The sequence below is a fragment of the Homo sapiens genome, chromosome 20, assembly GCF_000001405.40.
Source record: "Homo sapiens chromosome 20, GRCh38.p14 Primary Assembly".
Lineage (NCBI taxonomy): Eukaryota > Metazoa > Chordata > Mammalia > Primates > Hominidae > Homo > Homo sapiens.
In genome coordinates, this window is record NC_000020.11 from 61,297,438 (window position 1) to 61,319,362 (window position 21,925).

At 50.4% G+C, this 21,925-nt stretch overlaps 1 protein-coding gene across 3 annotated transcripts in view, besides 2 other annotated features; it reads left to right on the top strand.

Annotated features, from left to right (window-relative positions):
- CDH4 (cadherin 4) overlaps positions 1–21,925 on the top strand; it is a 688,357-nt gene that overhangs the window by 45,177 nt on the left and 621,255 nt on the right. The window lies entirely within an intron of this gene.
- Positions 9,408–9,914: an enhancer, noted in NCBI's record as "OCT4-H3K4me1 hESC enhancer chr20:59881901-59882407 (GRCh37/hg19 assembly coordinates)". NCBI's record gives its function as "activates a minimal SCP1, AML or CMV promoter by ChIP-STARR-seq in naive H9 embryonic stem cells {active_cell/tissue: H9 hESC(naive)}" and the evidence as "EXISTENCE:reporter gene assay evidence [ECO:0000049][PMID:30033119]".
- Positions 19,826–20,701: an enhancer, noted in NCBI's record as "H3K4me1 hESC enhancer chr20:59892319-59893194 (GRCh37/hg19 assembly coordinates)". NCBI's record gives its function as "activates a minimal SCP1, AML or CMV promoter by ChIP-STARR-seq in primed H9 embryonic stem cells {active_cell/tissue: H9 hESC(primed)}" and the evidence as "EXISTENCE:reporter gene assay evidence [ECO:0000049][PMID:30033119]".

A 21,925-nucleotide genomic window follows, 5' to 3' on the forward strand; every position in this document is an offset into this window, starting at 1 on the left:
AGAACACCCTATATTTGGTATAAAGTAATACCCTGGATGAAGGTTTTGCTCACCATGAACATATCTCAGAGGCGAATCCCCATGGTCCATCTGTGTCTTGGGGCCCCTGGGCGTGGCCCACTGACAGCCCAACTCCTGAGGGCTGGGCAGCAGCTGTTTTTCCAAAGCCGGGGCGGTGCCTGGCACACAGTGGGCCCTTCAGAAAGATTTGTCGATTGCACCAAGAAGCTCCTCTGTCCTGCCACCTAGAGCAGGCTGGATTCTGGAGGCCTTGCAGCGCACTTTCCTGCCCTCTCGCGTGTATGATAGAGACATTAGCGCGTGTCAGCCCCTTTACCGGGGCTTCCCATTGTCTTAGCGTGCTCCTTTCATCTAATGAGCAGGCGCCCTTGGCTGAACTTTTCAGGAATCCGTGGGGAACCAGAGTGAATATATTATGGCGCTGTGGAGCGAATGACAATCGGGCAGTGCTCGCCTGTGGCCGTGGAGGTATCTGCGCCACCGCAAAATGCCTCACCCTTCTTTTGGGTTTTGGGGTTTCAGGTCAGCTCTGGGGGCCCGTTATCCCGTGTCAAGGAGGCCCACGCAGGCACCCGAGGAAGGCTTTGGCTATCACGAGGTGGCCTTTGTGCAGGCGGGTTCAGCAACTTTGGCATTCATTGGGGCAGCCTGTTACTGGTGCTTGGAGTAAGTGAAGAGTGCGATTGGGCGCCAGAGCTGACCTGGCAGGGAGCCGGGTTTCCGGCCTGTGTCAGCGGCTGCCTAACCGTGGACACCAGCACGATGACTCAGTCCTGACCGCTATAAGCATCCCGGCCACCAGCTCTGCATCATCAGGGAGATCAATTAAATTGAGTGTGTGTAATTCTCGGGGATTAGACGGAAGTGCACAGGCTTCATTGATCCACTCTCCTAGACAATCAGCAGGCCCCTCCAAGGGCTGAGGACCCACCACTCAGCAGGAAGCCTGGCTCACTTCTCCCCCACACCCCTTCCTCCCGCACTTCCCCACGTTCCTCTCTCCTGGATTGGATTTCTGGAAGGTTCTGCTGGGCCACGTCCCGTCAGGTCCTCAGGAACACGGCATGCACAACCACACACCCCGTCTGCAGGGGCTGCAGGTACCCTGAGGCCCTGGGACTCTGTGTTTTTCTGTGGTTACCACTTTTCCTTTGAACAATAACATTTTTTTTCTGAGACACACTCTGAGACTTCTGGCACCCACCGTACCTTCTAATTCTACTATAATCATCACCCTTTTCTCTTGCCAAAAAAAAAAAAGAAAAAGAAAAATAAACTTAAAAGAACACAGACTGAAGAAAGTCATTTCCAAGTTAAGCTGCGAAGGGGTCTGAAATGTATCGCTGGTGAGAGTCTTTTTTTTTTTCATGGTAACCACAAAAGCAAGTGCACTAGTGTGTCTGTGTATGCGGTAAACAAAATGGTTTGCCAAACTCAGGAACTAAAAATGCTCTAAAAGAACAGAGTTCATTTCTGAAAACAGCCAATTTGGAACCCTGGCACCAGTATTTTGAGTCAGAAGATCACTGAGCATTATGGGTTGAATTGAATCTCCCAAAATGCCTTTTGCTGAATCCCAACTCCAGAACCTGTGCGCGTGATCATATCTGGAAAAAAAATGGGGGGTCTTTGTAGATGGAATCAAGTTAAGAGACAGTCAGAGTGGATCAGGGTGGGCCCTAAATCCAAAGACCCGTGCTCTTATAAGAAAAGAAGAGGAAACCGAATCCAGTGTTAGACAGAGGCCCCGGGGAGAACCTCGCTTATTCGTTCATCACGGAGCAGAGATGGGAGTGATACATCCGCAGACAGGAGCCCCGGGGACTGCCACAGCCCCAGATGGTGAGGGCTCCTCCCAATGGGTCCCAGAGGGAGCACGGCCCTGCAGACACTCTGATCTCCGTCAAACTCCTGGGCTCCAGAACAGACAGAATCCATTTCCATTGCTTTAAGCCTCCAGGTTTGTGATACTTTGTTATGGCAGCCACGGGAAACTGACACATTGAAAATGGCAATTTTGAAAAGCCCAGAAAGCAAATATGCTGGAAGAAAAATGTTGACTTAGATGTTTCTTGGTAACCTGACTTCTTAGTAACTCCCAGAAGTGACTTTTTTGAAAAGGAGGTTACTCCTGCTAGGGCTGAAAGTTCTCTGTTCCAAGCTTGCCTTGTGGATGGAGGAGCTGCTTCCTTGCAGAAACTCTGGGGTTAATATCAGGACCCTGGAACCCCATGCCTCACCCTTGAAAGGCCTCCCTGCAGGCCGGGCTGTCATCTCTCAAGCCTTTCACACTGCTCTGCTGTAAGGTCATAAAACCGTCATCCAGATGCAGATGAGGAGGACTAGCGCCAAAAAACACAGGCTATAAAAGTGTTAGGGCCCTAAACTATAAGCCATAAGTAACGCCATAGAAGCCGCCAGCACTTCCCCGGGGGCATGACGCTTACAGGAGGTGTGTGGGGTTAGAGCCTTTGCCAGTGTGTCCATTTGTAATGATGTGTAGAGGGGGGACCAGGTTTGGGGCTGGATCTCACAAGGGACATTACTGAAAATGGCTCTTTAGGGAATCGTGTGTATTTCTTCATCCAACAAACATGAAGAGACTCTTCTGCACGCTGACTGGCCATGCACTGGTGTAAAAACAGAGACGTCCAGCCTGCTTGGAGCTTACGGTGGCATGGGGAGGGCGGGTGGACAGCTAAAGCAGGTGGTGAGATCCCAGGGGAGAGGCAGGTGTGCCACAGCCAGGCAGTGGGGTCAGGTGCCAGGGATGCGTGGGTCTGAGGCCGGGGCAATCGGCGGGTAAAGGGATATTAAGGGAACACTTGAAAAATGAGCAGGAGAAGGGCCACATGAGGGGCAGCATGTTCTGGGAGAGGGAACAGTGCGTGTGGAGGCTCCGAGCCCTCAGCTGCTCCCGGGAACCTGGGAGTCTCGGCTGGGTGGGTTGCTGCTGGGCTCCGGCACAGGGCACTCTCTGCAGCCAGGCGGCCTCTGGGTGAAGAGGACAGTGCCAGCTCTCCCTGGGCACAGGGCTCCCCTGGCTGCGGCCACAGCCCTTGCTCATCCCCCGTCTGCCCTGCCGGGCTCTCTTCCTCGCTGCTGTCTTCGCTTCTTCGGCCTGGCCTGCACTGGCCCTTTGGACCCGTCTCCCGGGTCTGTGTCCCCTCTGTCCAGTGTTCCTCCTGCCCTGTTCTGCCCACACAGGACCCCTGGCCCCCACACCCAGCCTTCCTGCTGCCCTCTGGGTGGGATGTCCCCTTTCTCCAGGACACTCATGGGTCCCCTGTCAGGGGCGAGGCAGTCTCTTCTACTCCCAGGACAACTGTCTGTTTAGGTGGAAAAACATTGGCTTCCTGGCAGAGCCACCAGGAGGTAGGGACCCTGGGAAACAAACCCACCTCCTCCTCCTCACCCTTCCTTTTGGAGCAGTTCAAGCTGTACAAAGCCCGGAGCACCAGCCATGGGCGGCTGCTCCCTCCCCCGGCCCCTGCAGCTGGCAGCAGGGCCCTCCCACCTCCTCACATGAGCTGCTGGGCAGCCGTGGACTCACCCCACGGTTAATCCCATTAACTTCAAAGCTCACGACTCTTACCTCGCAGTGTGCCCGGGGCTGCGCCCAACTCCCCATTTGCAGTGTCTCTGTGAAGGTGCCAAAGCCCATGGCCCTCAGCCCGCTTCACAGATGGAAGGAGCGAGGCTCGGTTTAGCAAGGTGGTTGCCGTGGTCACTAGAAAGTGAAGGAGGAGAGCTGAGCCTGGCCTGTCTCCACAATGGATGCGGTAAATGCCTGAGGGCTGCTGTGTCAGGCAGGAACCAAGGGGATACAGTGCTGGGGCCTTTACATTTTGTCAGTGGTGCCAGCGGTGGTGCCCTGCCCATATGTTGGCCATTTGGGAAAACAGCAGCCATGTTTGAAAACACATTGCCCCTTTATTTAAATGGGCAGCTGCTGGTACTCACTGGCCTGGGCGTGTGCATTTTGCTGACATTTGGGGCAGACCCTTCTGTTGAATTCTCGATGCTTCGCGAGGCCTCTTGCCTTGGTCATATGACCTCCAGAGAGTTTTTGCTGCTTTTTAAGTCGTTTCAAGCGATTATTCTCCGGCCATAAAACTCAGCTTTAAAAATAGGTTTCATAAAGGCCCCGACTTTTCTTCTAATTAGTGTAAAGATTTATTGAATATACATCATATGCACAGATCATAATATTATTAAAATTACTATTAAGACTTTACACATCAAAATATTTCAGGCAGTGGGGAGACAGGAAGCCTGATGGTCCCTGAGAATCGAATCTGCATTGGCAAGATAAAGGACAATTGAGGGCGATTACAAAAGCCATGATTTAGAGTACAACATAAAACTCTGCTGAGAACTAATTCGTATTGCCAGCTGCTGCTAAGCTTCTTAATCTTTATCTAGTTCAATTAAAATCTGAATGTTTGGGATTTCATTAACAACCGGGGGTTTGGAAATTACATGCGCTTTTACGCCATACTTCCGTTGCTGACTGACAATATTGGAAGTTGCCCAAAACGTCTCCAGGTAGACTTATGTATAATTAAAACTTAAGTATTTAAAGGCTAATGCAAAGGTAAAAGCAGATTGTTTTAATTTGCAAGTCAGATCCGACTGACAAAGTAAGGAGACTCCACTACAAACGGTGCCCCTTTTGTGGGGAGAGAGAGCATTTAGTAGGCCGAGGTCTGGGCGGTGACCTGCAGCTCATGGTCGAGCCCTCACCACAGGGCCGGTTTCCGTGTGAGGGCCAGGGAGCTGCTTTGGGCATCTTCTTAGCCACTGGGGACCTTGTCACGTTCCTGTGTGTGCAGTCCGTATCCTCACTGTGGTGCAGATGTGTTTGCTGTCTGCCAATTCATTATGCGTTTTCAAGACTTTGCAAGCAGGTCTTTCTAAAATTAAACCAGCCAAAGTGATGAACAAGCTTAACGCCTAACTTCAGATGAACGGTGAAAAGCAAAAGCATCCAGGATGTTTCCTGTATGTGTTTCCTTGGCCTGGGTTGGGGGGGGTCTGTTGTCACAAACGTCATTCTTCACAGGAGAATGGGAGGGTCTGACTGAGGTTGGGGGTGGGGGCAGGGAATCGGCATTGTTGTCCCCTCCATCCCTCAAGTCATCCTGAGACTGGTTGGTGCCTCCCATGTCCTGCATGGCCCGGAGGGATGGCTGCAGCATTTGGGTCTGTGTGAGACACACCTGTTTCGGTTCCCTGAGCATGGGAGGTAGAACAGGGACCCCCAAAGATGCCCCAGTCCTAATCTCTCCACCTCTGAATGTCTCACCTTGCCCCGCAGAAGGGACTCTGCAGATGTGATGAAAGTGAAGGATGCCGAGATGGGAGGTTATCCTGGTTGGTGCCATAGAACCCCAAGGTCCCTTCCAAAAGGGAGGCCGGAGGGTCAAGGTTGGGAGGAGAAAATGTGAGGAGGGAAGCAGAGGTTGGAGTGATGTGAAAGAGGCCATGAGCCCATAACACAGGTGCCTCCAGAGGCTAGACAAGGAAGGATTCTCTCCTGGGGCCTCCCCAGCATGGCTGACACTTGGCTCTTGGCCCAGGGAAACCCATATCAGACTTCTAGCCTCCAGACCTGCAAGATATAAGTGTTCACATTAAGCCATGGGGTTTGTGGTGACGTTACGGCCACAGTAGGAAGCAGATACACCCTGAGACCCAAAGCATGTGGCTCCCCTTCCTATGCCTGTTCTCTCAGCTGTGAAACAAGAGTGGAGAGTGGTACCCAGGCGTTCTTGTGAGGATGGGCGAGATGGTGAATGTGTCACCAGCCTGGGTCAAGGAGGGCGATATTAGCCATGAGCTGCTGCTGGGGTGGCCTTCCTGCTGCTGGTCCAGGTGCCTGGCCTGGTGCTGGTCAAGGCCACGAGTCCTCTGCAAGAGCCAGGGCAGGGGTGGGGGACAGCAAGGGGCTCGAGGCACAGCCGTATCCACGCCCTGCCCCGTCTGGCCCTGCTCTTGCCATTTTTTTCCAGCTCCTCTGGCTGCCCCTCTTCCCCTTCTCTGCCTCATCCTCACCCTCCTGCTTCTCCTGGGTTCCCAGCAAGGCTGCAGCAGCAGGACAGGGATCCAGGTGGGCCCCCAACTGGTCATCTTGTGATTTGGGGGGTGTCTGCTCTCTCCGGTGCCAGCTCTCCTGAAGTCCTCTTCTCTCTGCCTTCTCACCTCCAGCGCCATTGCTTAATTTCCCTGTAGCTCTTTTCAGGGGAGCAGGGAGGAGGAGGTAGGAGCTGGGCTGAGATATGTGGAGCATCACTGTGCATCTGTGCCCACCCCCAGGCCCGGGACACGGAGGCACCAGTGGGAGGAGCCCACGGAAGTCCAGTGGGGCAAGCTGGAAAGCGAGCCTTCAGCAGCAGCCTGGATCCCAGGAGGTCCGATGGGCACGGTGCCATCCTGTTTTGTTTACTTAGGCAACACGTGCACCTCCTCTTAAATAATAGAGGCTACTTCGGAACGGAGTTGACCTGGGGCTGTTCTTCTGAAGGTTAACACGGCCGTAGGGATAGGCTCCTGCCAGTGGCTTCATTTCACACGTTTTTCTGGGTGGTGATGTCCCCAGTTCTATGGGACCCTCAAGGAACCCGTGTCCTGGGGCCTGGGAAGGAAAAGGCCAGGCATTCCTTTCCTCAGCTGCAGATCAGGAAACTGTCTTCACAGCCCCAGGCTTCTATGAAGACGAATCCTGGTTTTAGGTCTTTCTCTGCCCATCCTCCGAACGCAGTTCTCAGCAGTCAGCATTTTGGATTGAAGATAGTGGACGGCACCCCCCCAACCCCCCGTTCTTTGGTGTGGTCGTTATAGGAGTGACTTCCTAGGTAATCACTGAAGTGGCCAGTTTTTGTTATTTTACTTCATTCTGATACTGGTTTTCTGCGTCCTAGTTTTATTATTTCATATTACATTGTATTGCTTCATAATGGTCTGCGTGGTTGGCTTCTCTAAACGATGAGCCCCTGGAGGACAGGACGCCTTTGGTCGTGTTGTGTGTGTGTGAATGTGTGTGTATGTGCTGTGTTTGTTGTGTTGTATATGGTGCATATGCTGTGTGTTTTGTATGTTTTGAACTCTGAATTGTACTAGAGGGCCTGGCTGTGCCATAACAATATTAAGAGGCCTAGAGAAAAGGACAGCAGAAGGGGTGCTATTGGCAGGAGGTTTATAAAGTCCAGGAGCAACTAGAGACGATGTATTTCTAGACTATGTATGTACTAGAGCCTCTGTGTGTGCAGTGTGCTGTGTGTTTTGCATGCAGTGTGCATGTTGTGTGTGTGGGGTTGTGTGTGTGTGTGCAATGCATGTATTGTGTGTGGGGATGTGTGTACAGTGTGTCCTTTGTGTTGCGCATGCAGCACGTGTATTGTGTGTGTGTGTGTTCGGTGCGTGTGTTGTGTGTGGGATGTTTGTGCAGTATGTTGCGTGTGTTGTACATGCAGTGTATGTGTTGTATGTGTGTGTGTGCTTTGTGCATGTGCTGTGCGTGGGTGTGTGTACAGTGTGTTGCCTGTGTTGGGCATGCAGCATGTGTGTTGTATGTGTGTGTGTTCTGTGCGTGTGTTGTGTATGTGCAGTGTGTTGTGTGTGTTGTGTATGCACTGTGTGTGTGGTGTGTGCTCTGGGCCTGTATTGTGTGTGGGGAGTATTTTTCAGCGTCATCTCTGATGTTGAGCCTGACTGTCCGTAAGTGTGTGTTTCGGTGGATCTATAAACCTGCCTTTTTGTTTTGTGATTTTTGTTTTTCTTTGTCTGGGGGCAGAGGGGGAAGAAACCTTCCACCCAGCGTGGCTTTCGAGATGCAGGGCCAGTGCACCTGCCGTATCTTATGCAGCGACCTTACAGTCTTCAGGCATCTAGTGATCAGTGTGCTGTGAACCCCCTGGAAATCCTGCTGAATGCGGATTCCCACTCCCGGGGGAGGTGGGGCCTGAGAGTCTGCATTTCCAACACTTTTTCTCTATGGATGCTGCTGGTGTGGGGACCACACTTTTGCAGCAAGACTTTGAACAGCCTGAGGTCCTCACGACATTCCAAGTCCCTGGACCAATTCCTAAGTTATTAAAAATAAAACTCCCTTGATTCTTTTCAATTCTCTTGACCTCGGTTCACGAACCTCTCTCTTCCCCTTGGTCTCAGAGCTTCCCAGGGCTTTGGTGGCCATGAGTTTGTGCATTTCCAGATGTCATCCAGCTCACCGCTCACGTGCACCTAAGTGGCTGGGTTAACATCAAGATCGAAGGGAGCCACCTTGATCTGGAGCTTGTCATTTTCATGAAAGATGCTGCCACATCACAAATGGATTTGGCAAATGGCTCGCCAGGAGATCCGTGGGAGTTCAGAGATAACTGAAAATATGATCTATATCTGTATATTTGGCTTCTAGAGTGAAGATCGGCCCACGGATTGATCTGATAGGGGTGATAAATATATAGTCCCTAGTTGCTCTTGGACTTTGTAAGCCTTCTGCCAATAGCACCACTTCCGTTGACCTTTTGTCTAGGCCTTTTGATATTCTTATGGCACAGCCAGGCCCTCAAGTACAGTTCAGAGTTCAAGATGGGAGTAGGCTGTGGGTTTCAGATCCTGGCCATCACGCTCTTGAAAACTTTGAAGGCTTCTGTCCATCTCTTCTTCCTTGCTTAGGGTTTCATCTCATCTGTTGATTTTAAGTCTTCCAAAGGTTGCTGGAAAGCATGATTAGATAGATGATTGTGAATCTGGACTCAAGAAATTACCTCAGAATATTATACGTAAAACATTCTAGATTCCTTTAAAAATGCAGTTTACTCTGCAAGAAATGGCTGATTTGCTACTGAGTGATGCCGGTAAGTTTTCTTTTTTCTTTCTTTTTCTTTTTTTTTTAAACGGAGTCTCGCTCTGTCACCCAGGCTGGAGTACAGTGGCACGATCTCGGCTCACTGCAACCTCCGCCTCCCAGGTTCAAGCAATTCTCTGCCTCAGCCTCCTGAGTAGCTGGCATTACAGGTGCCTGCCTCTATGCCTGGCTAATTTTTTGTATTTTTAGTAGAGATGGGGTTTACCATCTTGGCCAGGCTGGTCTTACACTCCTGAACTTGTGATCCACCTGCCTCAGCCTCCCAAAGTGCTGGGATTACAGCGTGAGCCACCGCACCCAGCCGCCATTAAGTTTTTACAAACTTTTCATTGTCATATACACAAAAGCACACAAGTTGTGAGTGGCCAGATGGTGTATCATCTCAAACCAAACACACCCTTGGGGCCAGCACCGACCAGTCAAACACTGGGGCACGGTCCACTCTCCCTGGTCCTCACACCCTTCCACCTGGATCCACTGCAGACCTACAGCTCAGCGTTGCCTGATTTCGAACTTTGTGTCGACAGAGCCCCACTTCACCTGTACGCCTGGCTTCTTTCCTGAGCCGTGTTTGGGGAGCCATCTGTGTCCTGGCTGGGCGGGACTTCTCATTTCCTCCTTGGTGTGGCTATGTTGTAGGTGGGAGGGCTAGTTCAGGTTCTTAACTTTGCCATACAAAAGAATTTGAGAGCCAGTCCATAGTGAGAGTAAGCAAAGAAGTTTATTGGAAAGCAAAAGTCCACTCCGAGAGACAGAGCAGCGGCTCAGAGGGAGATAGCAGCTGCTGCCTTAGGAGGAATTCCTTTCATGGGAGCTGTATGTGAATATTCATGAAATACTGCTGAGGTCGGGGATGCAAAGGCGGATCTGCAGTTGGAGCTTGCACTCAGCACCTACATGCTCCAACACGCCTTGCATGTATCATTAGGCACTCAGCACCTGCATGCTCCAACACACATTGCATGTATCAGGCACTCAGAGCTTACATGCTCCAACACGCCTTGCATGTATCATTAGGCACTCAGCACCTACATGCTCCAAAACACATTGCATGTGTCATTAGGCACTCAGCACCTGCATGCTCCAACACACGTTGCATGTGTCAGGCACTCAGCACCTACATGCTCCAACACACGTTGCGCGTATCATTCGCATACTAGGTCTCTGCCTAGGGGTGTGTTTTTCACTATTAAAATGAGGAAAAGGTCACTATAACCTGAATCTTGAACCTAGCTGGGCAGGCTGGACCTCGAAGAAGTCCCTGCCCCATCCACCTGCCCCAGGCAGGAATCTGTAGCTACTGGCTTCTTGGGATTTGTATGCTGATTGGCTGGATATTGGGGAAACTACATCAGGAAGAGGGGCTTTTGTTTTCTTTCCTGGGTGGTCCTAGGTGTCCTGAGCCTGTAGCCTGCCTGTCTGCTGGTGTCCTGCAGGGCTGGACTGCTTCCCTTCCAAAAGAGTGAGGTGCTGGCATGGGAAGGTGTAAGGGATGTGGAGCCAGCCGGGCTCCACCCACGGGGACAAGTCAGTGTGGCCTGATCTCACATATCCTGCCTGGAAATGTGCCAGGCTTGATTTGTCCAGTGTACTCTTCACAGATATCTGGGTGTCACTAGTGGTGTCACCGTAGGAGCTGTCATATGTGGTGACTGCCCACTGAACAGCCACATGCCGAGTCCAGGCATGGAGAGCTTCTGAAACACGGCTCTCCCTGTGGAGGTGAGATGACCAGAATCACTGTAGAAGTACAAGGAACGTGTGAAACTGCCCAGTGTGTCAGGGCTGAACCTCACTGCCCAGGGGGCGGGGGCATGCAAATATTCCTTTCGTCTTTTTATGGCCCCACGTGAGCCTCTTGGTTTTGAATGTATGTAGCATACATTGACACATTTGTACCATGCCAGGGTGGTGTAATTTTCAAGGGTTCTGCAGATGAGTTCTTTAATATTAAATACTATGTGAGTGCACATACTTAACCAAAGCTGTCACAAAGCTGCCATGAGCCGCAGCGCTGAGCAGTGGACTTAGTTTCATGCTGATTGAATTAGTGGGATCCGATGTCTTTTGTGGGGAGGAGAAGGCAGGGCGAGGTGAAGTCGGTGACACCCTCCTTCTCATTGCACTGTGCAGGAAAGCTGTGCCGACAATTAATCTCTGTCCACCTGCAAACTCTGGCAAAAGTCAGACAATGCCAGCAGTCTGTGGGATTTTTCTGCTGAAATGGCTGCTGCTTTTCTGCCTTGGCATAATTTCCTGTGCCTGGGAGTGATGGGAAATGAGGAGCACCGGGGCTTACTGTTTGGCACCATCCAGACAAAATGCTTAGTGTGTTTCCTTGTCTGATGTGGTTTTCATTTGCTAATGTGAACCTATTCAGTCACCTTCCCAAGGCCTTCTGTCAAAACTGAATTTGATGATTGCAGGCGGAGGAGAGGCTGAGCAGGAAGATTTCTGGAGGTTAGACTTTGCTGTCAGAAACCTGTTGCAGCTACTTCAATGCCCCTCTTCCTGTACATCTGAATTTACTTAAGCCCTGATCAAAGGGCTGGGCTATGGGAAGCAGAGCTCGTAGCCTGTGGTTTGCAGGAGAATTGATTCCTGCCTGGATCTGATGGGAAGTCCAGCAGAGGTGCTCTGAGGCCTCCCACTTCCTGACAGACCTCAGTTGGAGCAGGACTGACTGCATGTTTTCGGGCCCAGAACACAGTGAAAATTTGGAGCCCCTTGTTAAAAAATTACTGAATTTCAATATGGCAACGGCAGAGCATGGAGCCAAGCACAGGGCGCTTCTGAGCGCGAGGCTGGCCCTGTGCAGCTCGGCTGGTGCCCAGGAGATCCTCTCATCTCTCTGGAGCTGGGTCCTGAGGCCAGCTGGCTGAGTGCTGGGGTCCTGGGGCTAGGGGGCTGTCCCTGTAGGGGTGCAGCAGGAGCTTGTGTGCAGGCTGTGGCACTGAGACATGGATGGGGGCGCCTCACTGTGATGACCTTGCAGGTGTGCATAGAGGTGTTCAGCTGTCTTCCTCGAGTTTCCAGAACCATGCAGGTGTGCATAGAGGTGTTCAGCTGTCTTCCTTGAGTTTCCAGAACCATGCAGGTATGCATAGAGGTGCTCAGCTGTCTTCCTCGAGTTTCCAGATGCCCTGGGGGCCCCCTCCTCCTCTAGATGTTCATTTGAGGCATTTTACTTAGCAGTGGATATGGGGTTGAGAACACAGTGATCTGGAAGCAAGGCAAAAAAAGGAGGGAAAAACTTAGGAAGAGAAATGGTTTATAGACAAAACTTTGAAAAGTTTCCCCAAGTGGTCAGTACCTTTTTGTGTTCCTATTTCAGGGAAATGCATGAACTTAATTATTCTATTTAGTGGGGATTTGAACAGTATAAAGACTAATTTGTAGATTCCCTTGTCCTTTAATTCCACAAAAGCTTCATGAACATATAGCAAGTGCCAGGCCCTGTCTAAGTGGTGAACTAAGCAATGTTTCAGAAAGAGTTAGGACAGTTTCGTCCTATTGAATGCATTACTTGGGAGCCTTAGGGATTTGAAAAATCTATTAAAGAGAAGAAGGACATGGAGCAGAAGTGTGGCAGGGGCTGGCCAGGTGTGGCAGAAGCTAGGGTGGCCTCTCCATTGCTCTCTCTGCTCCCCTGTCCCCTGCAAGATGAATTTGTTTGCAGGACAGCTCTCCTGCGGCTTACAGAAATGGGTGGCCTTGTAAAATTCCAAAGTTCGTGCCAGTTGGATGGCTTAGGTCACCTGCCCCCCTCCAAAGCCCATGGGAATGTGGGCTGCAAGATGGTGCCACCTGGAACCAGCCCAGAGCCAGCTGGGGTGGGTAGGCTGAGTGTCTTCAGCCCACTGTCTGGTTGGGGGTCTTTGCTAGAGTGGGTGATGGGGGTTCGTCTTGCACAAGCCAGGACGGGAGGGCAAGGCTCCATGTCCTACTCAGCTCATGCTGCCATACTAAGTACCACAAACCAGGTGGCTTCAACCAGTGGTCCCCAACGTTTTTGGCACCAGGGACCAGTTTCGTGGAGGATAACTATTTTATGGACCTGGGTTGGGTGGGGGTTGGTGTCTGGTTGAAACTGTTCCACCTCAGATCATCAGGCATTAATTAGATTCTCATAAGGAGCGTGCACCTTGGATCCCTCCCATGCGCGGTTCACAGTAGGGTTTGCACTCCTGTGAGGATCTAATGCTGCTGATCTGAGAGGAGGCGGAGCTCAGGCGGCCATGCTGGCTCTCCAGCTGCCCCCTTCCTGCTGTCCAGCCTGGTTCCTAACAGGCCATGCACTGCCATGGGTCTGCAGCCCCGGGGTTGGGTACCCGCAGCTTAAACAACAGGAGGTCGTTTCCTCACTGTTCTGGGGGCTGGAAGTCTGGGATGGAGGTGTTGGCAGGGTTGGGTTTTCCTGGGGCCTGGCTCTGTGGCCTGCAGATCCTGTCTCCTTTTTGTATCTTCCCATGATTTTCCTTCTGCGTGTCTGCGTCCTAGCTCCCTCTTCCCACAGGGACACCAGTCACCTCAGATTGGAGCCCACCCTAAGGACCTCATTTTGCCTTAATCACCACTTCCAAGGCCCTGGCTCCAAATACAGCCACGTTCTGTGGTACTGGGGGGTAGGGCTTCAAAATAGGAATTTGACGGGGACACAGGTCAGCCCTAACGCTTCCCAAGGTGTCCCCACCCCACTCCACTGCACAGTGGAGGCGGGTGGTGTCCTGGTCCTCCTCGTTTCCATCAGATCCATACAGTGAAGCGAACCTCCGGTGACTCAGGCTCAGATGTTCTGGGTGAGATGGGTAGTTAGTTGAATTCCAAGTGGATCAAACGTTTAAAATTAGCTCATTAAACACACACCCACACCCACACACACCCACACCAGCAATGTGTGTTTATCTGAACTTTGAATAGGCATGGAGAAGTTCTTGTTGAACAGAAAAAAAAGTAATGAAATCAGAAAGGAAAAGATGGATCTGACTCAATAAATATTTTAGAAATAAATTTTATTAAAAAGGTTTCACATTAAAAGGCAAACATATTGGGAAAATAATTTCTACAAATAATGAGGAAGAACTTCTCACCTTTCCATATAAAGATGTAATATAGACTGGTGAGAACAATGCAAATTAGGACAGTGCCCAAAGTACAAAACAGCAAAATTACAGAACAGCAGATTCAGATATTTAGTAAACATAGACAAAACATGTTACACCTCACTAGTAACCAAGGGAAAGTCTAGAAAACTGTCTTACCACTTTGGTGTTACCAATTAAGCAAAGTTTGTGTTTGTGTTAATTTTCTTTTAATTGGTTTACTCAAAACTGGCCAAGACCTATGGGTTGGATGTATATGCTGCATCAAGAAATGTTAAACTGAAATTGAAAAAAAAATTGACGAACTATCTCAAGGGCCAGAGAAATGGTTTTGCGGTTTTACTCAGTGATTCAAGTTCTTGTCAAGCCTGAAAAAACAAAACATCTGAAAGTGGGTGGGAGTGTGTGGGACGCGCCAGGGCGGGGCGGCCAGTGCATGGCACAGCACCCTGGCTTCCTGCGGAGCCGGCTGCATCCACACCTGTTCCTCCTGTGCCCGAGCCTGTGAGGTCATTGTGCGTGCACATGTGTACTGTATGTGTTTACATGCCTGCATGTGTGTAATGTGTGCATGTGTTGTGCATATATGTGTTTGCATGGGTGTTGTGTGTGAGACTGCATGTATTTGTGATGTGCACATGTGTGGTGTGTATATGTATGTGCATGTGTGTGATGTGTGGTGTGTGCATGTGGGTGGTGTGTGTGTGGTGTGTGCATGTGTGTGTTGTGTATGCGTGTGGGATGTTTGTGATGTGTGCATTTTGTGATGTGTGCATATGTGCGGTGTGTGTGTGGTGTGTGCATGTGTGTGGTGTGTGTGTATATGTGTGTAATGTGTCCATTTTGTGATGTATGCATATGTCAGTGTGTGTATGGTGTGTGCATGTGTGTGGTGTGTGTGTATATGTGTGCGATGTGTACATTTTGTGATGTATGCATATGTGTGGCATGATGTGAGTGGTGTGGTGTGTGCATGTGTGTGTGCATGTGTGAGTGTGTGCGCCCATTCTGCTTGGTGATCATGGGCCCTGCCTGGGAGGCAGAGTGAGGAGCCGCCAGCCCCCGGGTGCACAGGTGGACCTTCCAGCTGGTCCGTATTGGGGACCCCTTGCCCCTGCAGTCCCCACCATCAGGACTGCACCCCCTTCTTTGCTGAGGCCCAGCTGGGAGTGACTTTCTCGCTAGAGCCTGGCCCTCCTCGTGAGACCCTACTGTGGTCATCTCTGATGGCTTGGCCAGCGTTCTCCTTCCTCTTTGCACACGTCACTCCTTCCAGCTACTCCATGTCCGAGGATGTGAGTGGTTATTAATTTTGTGCAGCGTATGATGACCCCTTCCAGAACAGAGCTCGAGCTCTGCCCCCTAGAGCTTGTGGGACGGGACACCAAAGTGCCTGCAGTCCCTCCTCTCCAGCCTGCATTTCCCACCCATCCTCGGCTTGCTCTTGCCTGCCCAGTGCAGAGAAGCGAGCTTGCCTGGGATTGCAGGGGTGCTCGGCAGGTCCTCTCCCTCGATCCAAGCTTTCCTACCCCCTCACTGCCTCCAGGGCCTGGGGGTCTCACTCCTGTGGGGTTGCGGTGAGCCCTTCCCTATCCCTGCCCCAGGGTGGCCCCCAGTGCCTTCCAAAGACCGATTCTAATACTGCAGGGAGGAAATGCATAGAACAGGCTGGCTCTGCTCCAACGTGACTGTGCTATGCGGGCTCATCGAGGCCTGGTCGTGTTTGAAATCTCATTTATTTCACCACTCTCAATCGTGCACTACGTGGGGCCTGGCTTAGCCCGAGTGTCTGATGAGGGATTTGCGGAGTGGTTCAGCATGCTTCACTGTGAGTCTCCAGCCACCAGCAAAGGGAAGAGCCCGGAGACCCAGAAGCAGCAGGGAGGGTTCTGGAGCTGGCACCTGCAGCCGGGTGGGGAAGTAGGTGCGAGCACTCCCCGGGAAGCCTACACAGCTCCCTTCATCTTTTAAAATGAAGGGCATCTTTCGCTCTCATTTTTTAGTTCACCATTGAGTCGCCCTTGGCACGCTTTGTTTTTCATCTAAACAAACCCTGTCGGGAAGCCACCAGGCACCAGGCGTGTCTCACAGTGCATGGACCACTGCGTGAGAGCAGCGTGGATTTCACGATCAGACGGTTGCTTGCAGCCTGCATGAGATGAATGAGCGCTGTCTGCCCTGGGAACATCACAGGGGTGGTCACAGTGCAGTGTTTTGGGGTCACTTTTGGTTTTATGAAGGTATAATTGACAAATAAAAAATGTATATATTTATGGTATACAACATGATGATTTTTTACATTTTTGTTATCATTTTTTGTTTAAGACATGGTCTCGCTCTGTCACCCAGGCTGGAGTGCAGTGGTGCAATCATAGCCCACTACAGCCTCAAACTCATGGCCTCTAGTGATCCTCCCACCTCAGCCTCCTGAGTAGCTAGGACTACAGGTGCACACCACCATGCCCAGCTAATTTTTGTTTTTTGTAGAGATGGGGTCCCATCATGTTGCCCAGGCTGCTTTCAAACTCCTGAGCTCAAGTGATCTGTGCACCTTGGCCTCCCAAAGTGCTGGGATTACAGGCGTGAGCCACAGCACCCAGCTAACAATGTGTTGATTTTATATACGTATGATTCTCCAGATCAAGTCAGTTCACATCTCCATCACTTCACCTTGTTACCTTTTGTGGTGAGAGGTGAGAACATTTATGGTCCGTTCCTTTTACAGATTTCAAATTAACCATACAGTGTTGCTACCCCTGGTCTCTGAGCTGTACCTTAGATCCCCAGAAATCACCCATCTTAGAACTGAAACTTTGTCCCCTTTGACCAACAGCTCCCCTCTCCCCACTCCCAGCCCCAGGCAACCATTGTTCTATTCTCTGCTTCTATGAGTTTGACGTTTTTAGATTCCACGTAGAAGTGAGATCGTGCAGTATCTGTCTTTCTGGGCCTGGCTTGTTTTATTTAGTATCGTGTCCTCCAGTTTCATCCATGTTGTTGAAATGCCAGGATTTCCTTTCTTATGGTGGATTACTAGTCCCTTGTGTGTACGTGTGTAGACCACAATTCATTTGTCTGTTCGCCCACCAGTGGACACTGAGGTGGATTCCATATCTCAGCTGTTGAGAAGAATGTGCTGCAATGAACTTGGGACTGCAGGGATCTTTTTGAGATCCTGACTTCATTTCCTCTGGATAGATGCCCAGAGGTGGGACCACTGGATCGTATGGTAGTTCTACCTTTAATGTTCTGAGGAACCTCCATGCTATCTTCCATAACGCTCATCCCAATTTATCTTCCCAGCAACAGCGGAGGAGGAGGAGGAGGCTTCCCTTTTCTCCACGTCCTCACCGAGGCTTGTTATCCTCGTCGTTTTGACAGTAGCCGTCCTAACAAGTGTGCGATGACAGCGCATTGTGGTTTGAATTTGCATTTCCCTGGTGATTCGTGATATTGAGCACTTTTTCATAAACCTGTTGGCCATTTGTATATCTGTGTTGAGAAATGTCTGTTCAGGTCCTCTGCTAATTTTTTTATTACATTGTTTTCTTGCTATTGATTTGTTTGCATTCCTTATGTATTTTGGCTATCAACACCTTTATTTTAAACATGACTCAGCCCAGATGGGTCTAAACACGAAAGCCTCCACTCACAGCTGGAAGCTCCATGCCAGACTCCTCCTCCTTGGGCTCAGGTGCATAGGGGCTCAAGGGGGACCGGCCTCATCCTGAAGCTCATCTCATTTCTGGGGCTGCAGTGATTGAATGGGTTGGGTGGGGCTTGTGATCTGGATGGGGTCAGTGAGATGCTCATGGCTTTCTGGATTTCTGGGAAAGAAACGTTTCCTCCTCTGGGCATGAGGCAGGAAGATGCCAGACCGATGCCTGGTATCCAAAAGGAGAGAAACTGGGGGACATTGAGCTTCCAGTGAGTGTGGAGCTCAGAGCAAAGAGAAAGCTAGCCCTGGGGACAGGTGGGTGCCCTGATAAAAAAGACCAGAAGCCAGCCAGCCTCAGACAGATTTTCAGCTGTGAAAGCCCATCAGCCCGGCTTCGGTGTAGCCAGGTTTCTGTCTCCAGCTGCAGAAAGAAAAAGGACGTGAGAATTGAATGATGCCAAGAAACTCGCAGAACCAGGCAGGAGGATGTCGGGGAGAAACGAGGAGTGTGCTGGACCTGTTCGTCATGAGGCTCCCTCTCTGTCTCGTGACAAATTGACAAATAAAAGTTGTATATATTTATGGTATACAACATGATGATTTTTTACGTTTTCATTATCATTTTTTGTTTAAGACATGGTCTTGCTCTGTCACCCATGCTGGAGTGCAGTGGTGCGATCATAGCTCACTACAGCCTCAAACTCATGGTCTCAAGCAATCTTTCCACATAAGCCTCCTGAGTAGCTAGGACTACAGGTGTACACCACCATGTCCAGCTAATTTTTTGTTTTTTGTATTTTTTGTAGAGATGGGGTCCCACCATGTTGCCCAGGCTACTTTCAAACTCCTGAGCTCAAGTGATCTGCCCCTGGGTGGAGGACTTCCAAGGGAACAGGCGATTTCCACAGGGCCCTGGAAGCTGGGTTTCTGATGCAGGCACTGAGGGGCTCTCCAGGGGGAGGAAGGATTTGGCAGCTTCCCTTTGAAGACAGGACTCAGTTTTCCTAATTCACGTCCTCCTCTTCCTCCTGGGTGCTGTTGGCAAGTTCCTTTGGGTTAGGATGGGGCAGGTTTCAGGGCAGTCTATGAAACAAGAAATGGAAGTTTACTTCCCAAACAGAAGGGCAATTTTGGATAGACTTCTTGACAGATCTGCATTTTTCAAAATCCAATCCATCGGAAGAAGTTAGGACAAGGAAAATCTAATTTTCTGGAACATCGGAGATGGAAAAGGCACTGCGGCCCGCAGATAGAGACCGCCGCGCTGACCTAAGTCGATAAGTTGAAGGCTCTAACAAGTTTGAAAAAGTCCACTTGGCCCCCTAAATCAAGTTCAGGCGGCAGAACAAATGTGTTGTTCCAACAGAGACGGAACAAACCTTTGGCTGGGAGGAAGAATAAAGTCATCAGCTCCCTCTTATCAGGTTTCTGTCTCTCTCCCTTCCCATCTGCCATCTGCTGCATCCTCGAAGCAGGGATCGCTTTGCTTGTTAAAGGGAAAGTGGTTGCTTTTCAGCGCAATTAATTTAGTAGGCCACAAATGTTGCTGACTGATGGGTGGAAGGTTTGATCAAACAGATTGGTTAATTGGTAGTGAAGAAATGCTGGCCATGTGAAAAAGGATGAAAGTGAAGTTGGACTTTGCTGTCGTTAGAGCCGCCGCCTCTGCTTTTCGGGTGAGGGGAGTTTCTCTTTCTGAGTCATCGTTGCCCAGAGCTGGGGCCTGGCCACCCTTTTTGTTTTAGCCATTTGTACAGCATGATAGTCACAGCCGAGAAGCAGGGCTGGGTGGGGAGGCGCCTGGACGTGGGTCCTCCAGCCTCCCTCAGGTGCGTGCAGCCTCTGTACCTGAACGTCTGGCAGCAGCCTTTAAAGACGTGCCTTGCAGTGGAGTGATAAGTCTTGCACGTAACCTGCTATTTCTTTTTTTTTTTTTAGTTTATTTATATACTTATTATTTTTATTACTATTTAGAAATCTGAATACCATGTTCAAATATATTTCCTGGCCAGGTGCGGTGGCTCATGCCTGTGATCCCGGCACTTTGGGAGGCCGAGGTGGGTGGATCACGAGGTGAGGAGATCAAGACCATCCTGGCTAACACGGTGAAACCCCGTCTCTACTAAAAATACAACAAATTAGCCAGCTGTGGTGGCGAGCGCCCGCAGTCCTGGCAGTGACTTGATCTTGGCTCACTGCAAGCTCCGCCTCCCGGTTTCACGCCATTCTCCTGCCTCAGCCTCCCGAATAACCTGCTATTTCTAACATGGGATAAATTAAGGCGCCTTTGCCACTGAGTCTCCAGGTGCCTGCACTGTAAATTCTATCAAATCTGTTTGCATTGAAGTGTTTATTAGCAGCCCCCACCCTCGTGACCTGATTGGATGGGGAGGTCTGTGGCCCATTGCATCTCCCAGCTCACGTGCCTGCCAAAGCCTGCATTCACCATTGCTCCAGACCAGGTTTCCTGACGCCACAGGCATGGGGGGCTGGATGAGTCTGTGGTGGGGCGTCCTGTGCACTGTATGGTGTTGAGCAGACTCCCAGGCTGGCACCCACTGGAGGCTGGTAGCACCCCTCCCCTAGGTGCCACAACCAAAAATGCCTCTAGATGTTGCCCAGTGTCCCCTGGGAGCAGGGACCCCCTTTCCACCATGCCCGAGACCCCCACGGTTCTAGACAAAGGGCACTTCTGGGAAGCGTTTTTTCCGTGTGAATTTGTGGGTGTCCAGCCAGCCAGCAAGGGTGAATTTGCACGAGTTTCCTCAAGGGACATGTCAGAGTGGGGTAAAAGTAGAGTTAATGCCCCATGGCATTTAGGGAAAAACAGAATGATCCAGCCATTGCAACTGTGAAGTGTTGTGCACACTTATTGGAGGAAAACGCCAACTGTGTTTGTTCTTAGCAAACCTAAATGGGTAGAGGTTAAGAGACCCAGAGAGACTAAAGGGCTGGAGGGTGGTTTCCTGCTCTCCGTCCCGGCTGGAGGGACACTTTTCACCTGAAACCTGGAGGTGGGACCCATGCGCCCCCACCCTGTGCTGTTGTGGTGGCAGGATGTGTGAAAGGGGAACTCACCATCCTAATAGATGTTAAACTGCCCGGCTCCTGTTTAGACAGCAGTTTGCTTTGCGTTGACGACTCTCCCGTATGTTCCTCTCCATCTGGAGTGAAGTTTCCCAACAGCCCCGGCTTTGCAGAAGACACCAGCCTGGGATTCACAGTGCTCAGCTGACCAGCAGTGAGTGCCAGCGGATGCAGCCTTGGGTTTTGTTTGATCCTGTCCAAGATTTACTGCTTTGAATGATTCAAAAACCTAAGCGTGTGACAATGATTTGAACTGACGTTCTTTTTTTTTCTCCTTTACCCCTTGCCTCATCTCTTAGGATTAACTGGGACTCTCCTAAGAAAACCTTATCCATTTGGTTTTATTATTAGATCATGAATCGGGTAGGGATTGCTGGAGGCTATGATGTGGGCATGCGCTCTAGAAGGGCACCATGGTCCAGAAGGCCTGGTTCGTGCCCAGGAGGAGCCTGGAATCAGTGATACTCAGTCAGAATACATGCTCAATGCATAGCCACTGATGAGGAAATTAGAAGCTCAGTGAGGTCAAGAAGCGTGTTGAGCTCTTTGGCTTTATGTTATTAATTACTACCACTTGTTTGGCACAGAGAGAGTAATCCCTGGATATGCACTGATTGAGTTGAAGTGGTGACTTGCCCCTTTTCCCATGTAATGTTTCTTTTCATTCGTTTATTCACAAATGCCCAGTCACCCTCTCTGTGCCTGCCACTGCACAGATGCCGGTGGTAGAGAGCTGGGCAGAGACCCCTCCTTGCCCGCAATGATGCTGCCATCGGCCTGAGCCATGGTGGGGCACCACACACTGATATGGAGATGCTGCACACCATGCATGTCACATGATGCCGTGATAAACAGATGACTTAGTTTCCACGATCTTAACAGGTGACAGCACTGAGCGCTTGCCCTGTAGCTGCCAAAGACGCTCACCTCATGGTCCTTAGCTCAGCCCTCTCTGTAGTATTACAATAAGCATAATAATATAACATATAAAAATATAACATATAACATGTTATAATAAATATTATAATATATAATAATACAATAAGCAGGTGCATTATTATCCCCATTTTACAGGTGGGGAAACTGAGGCTCAGGAAGGTGACGTGTGTAGGGCCAAAAGGACACACTGGGATTGCTAACATTTCCCAGGTCAGAGAATTCATCGATTAAAAATTCCCTGTTATG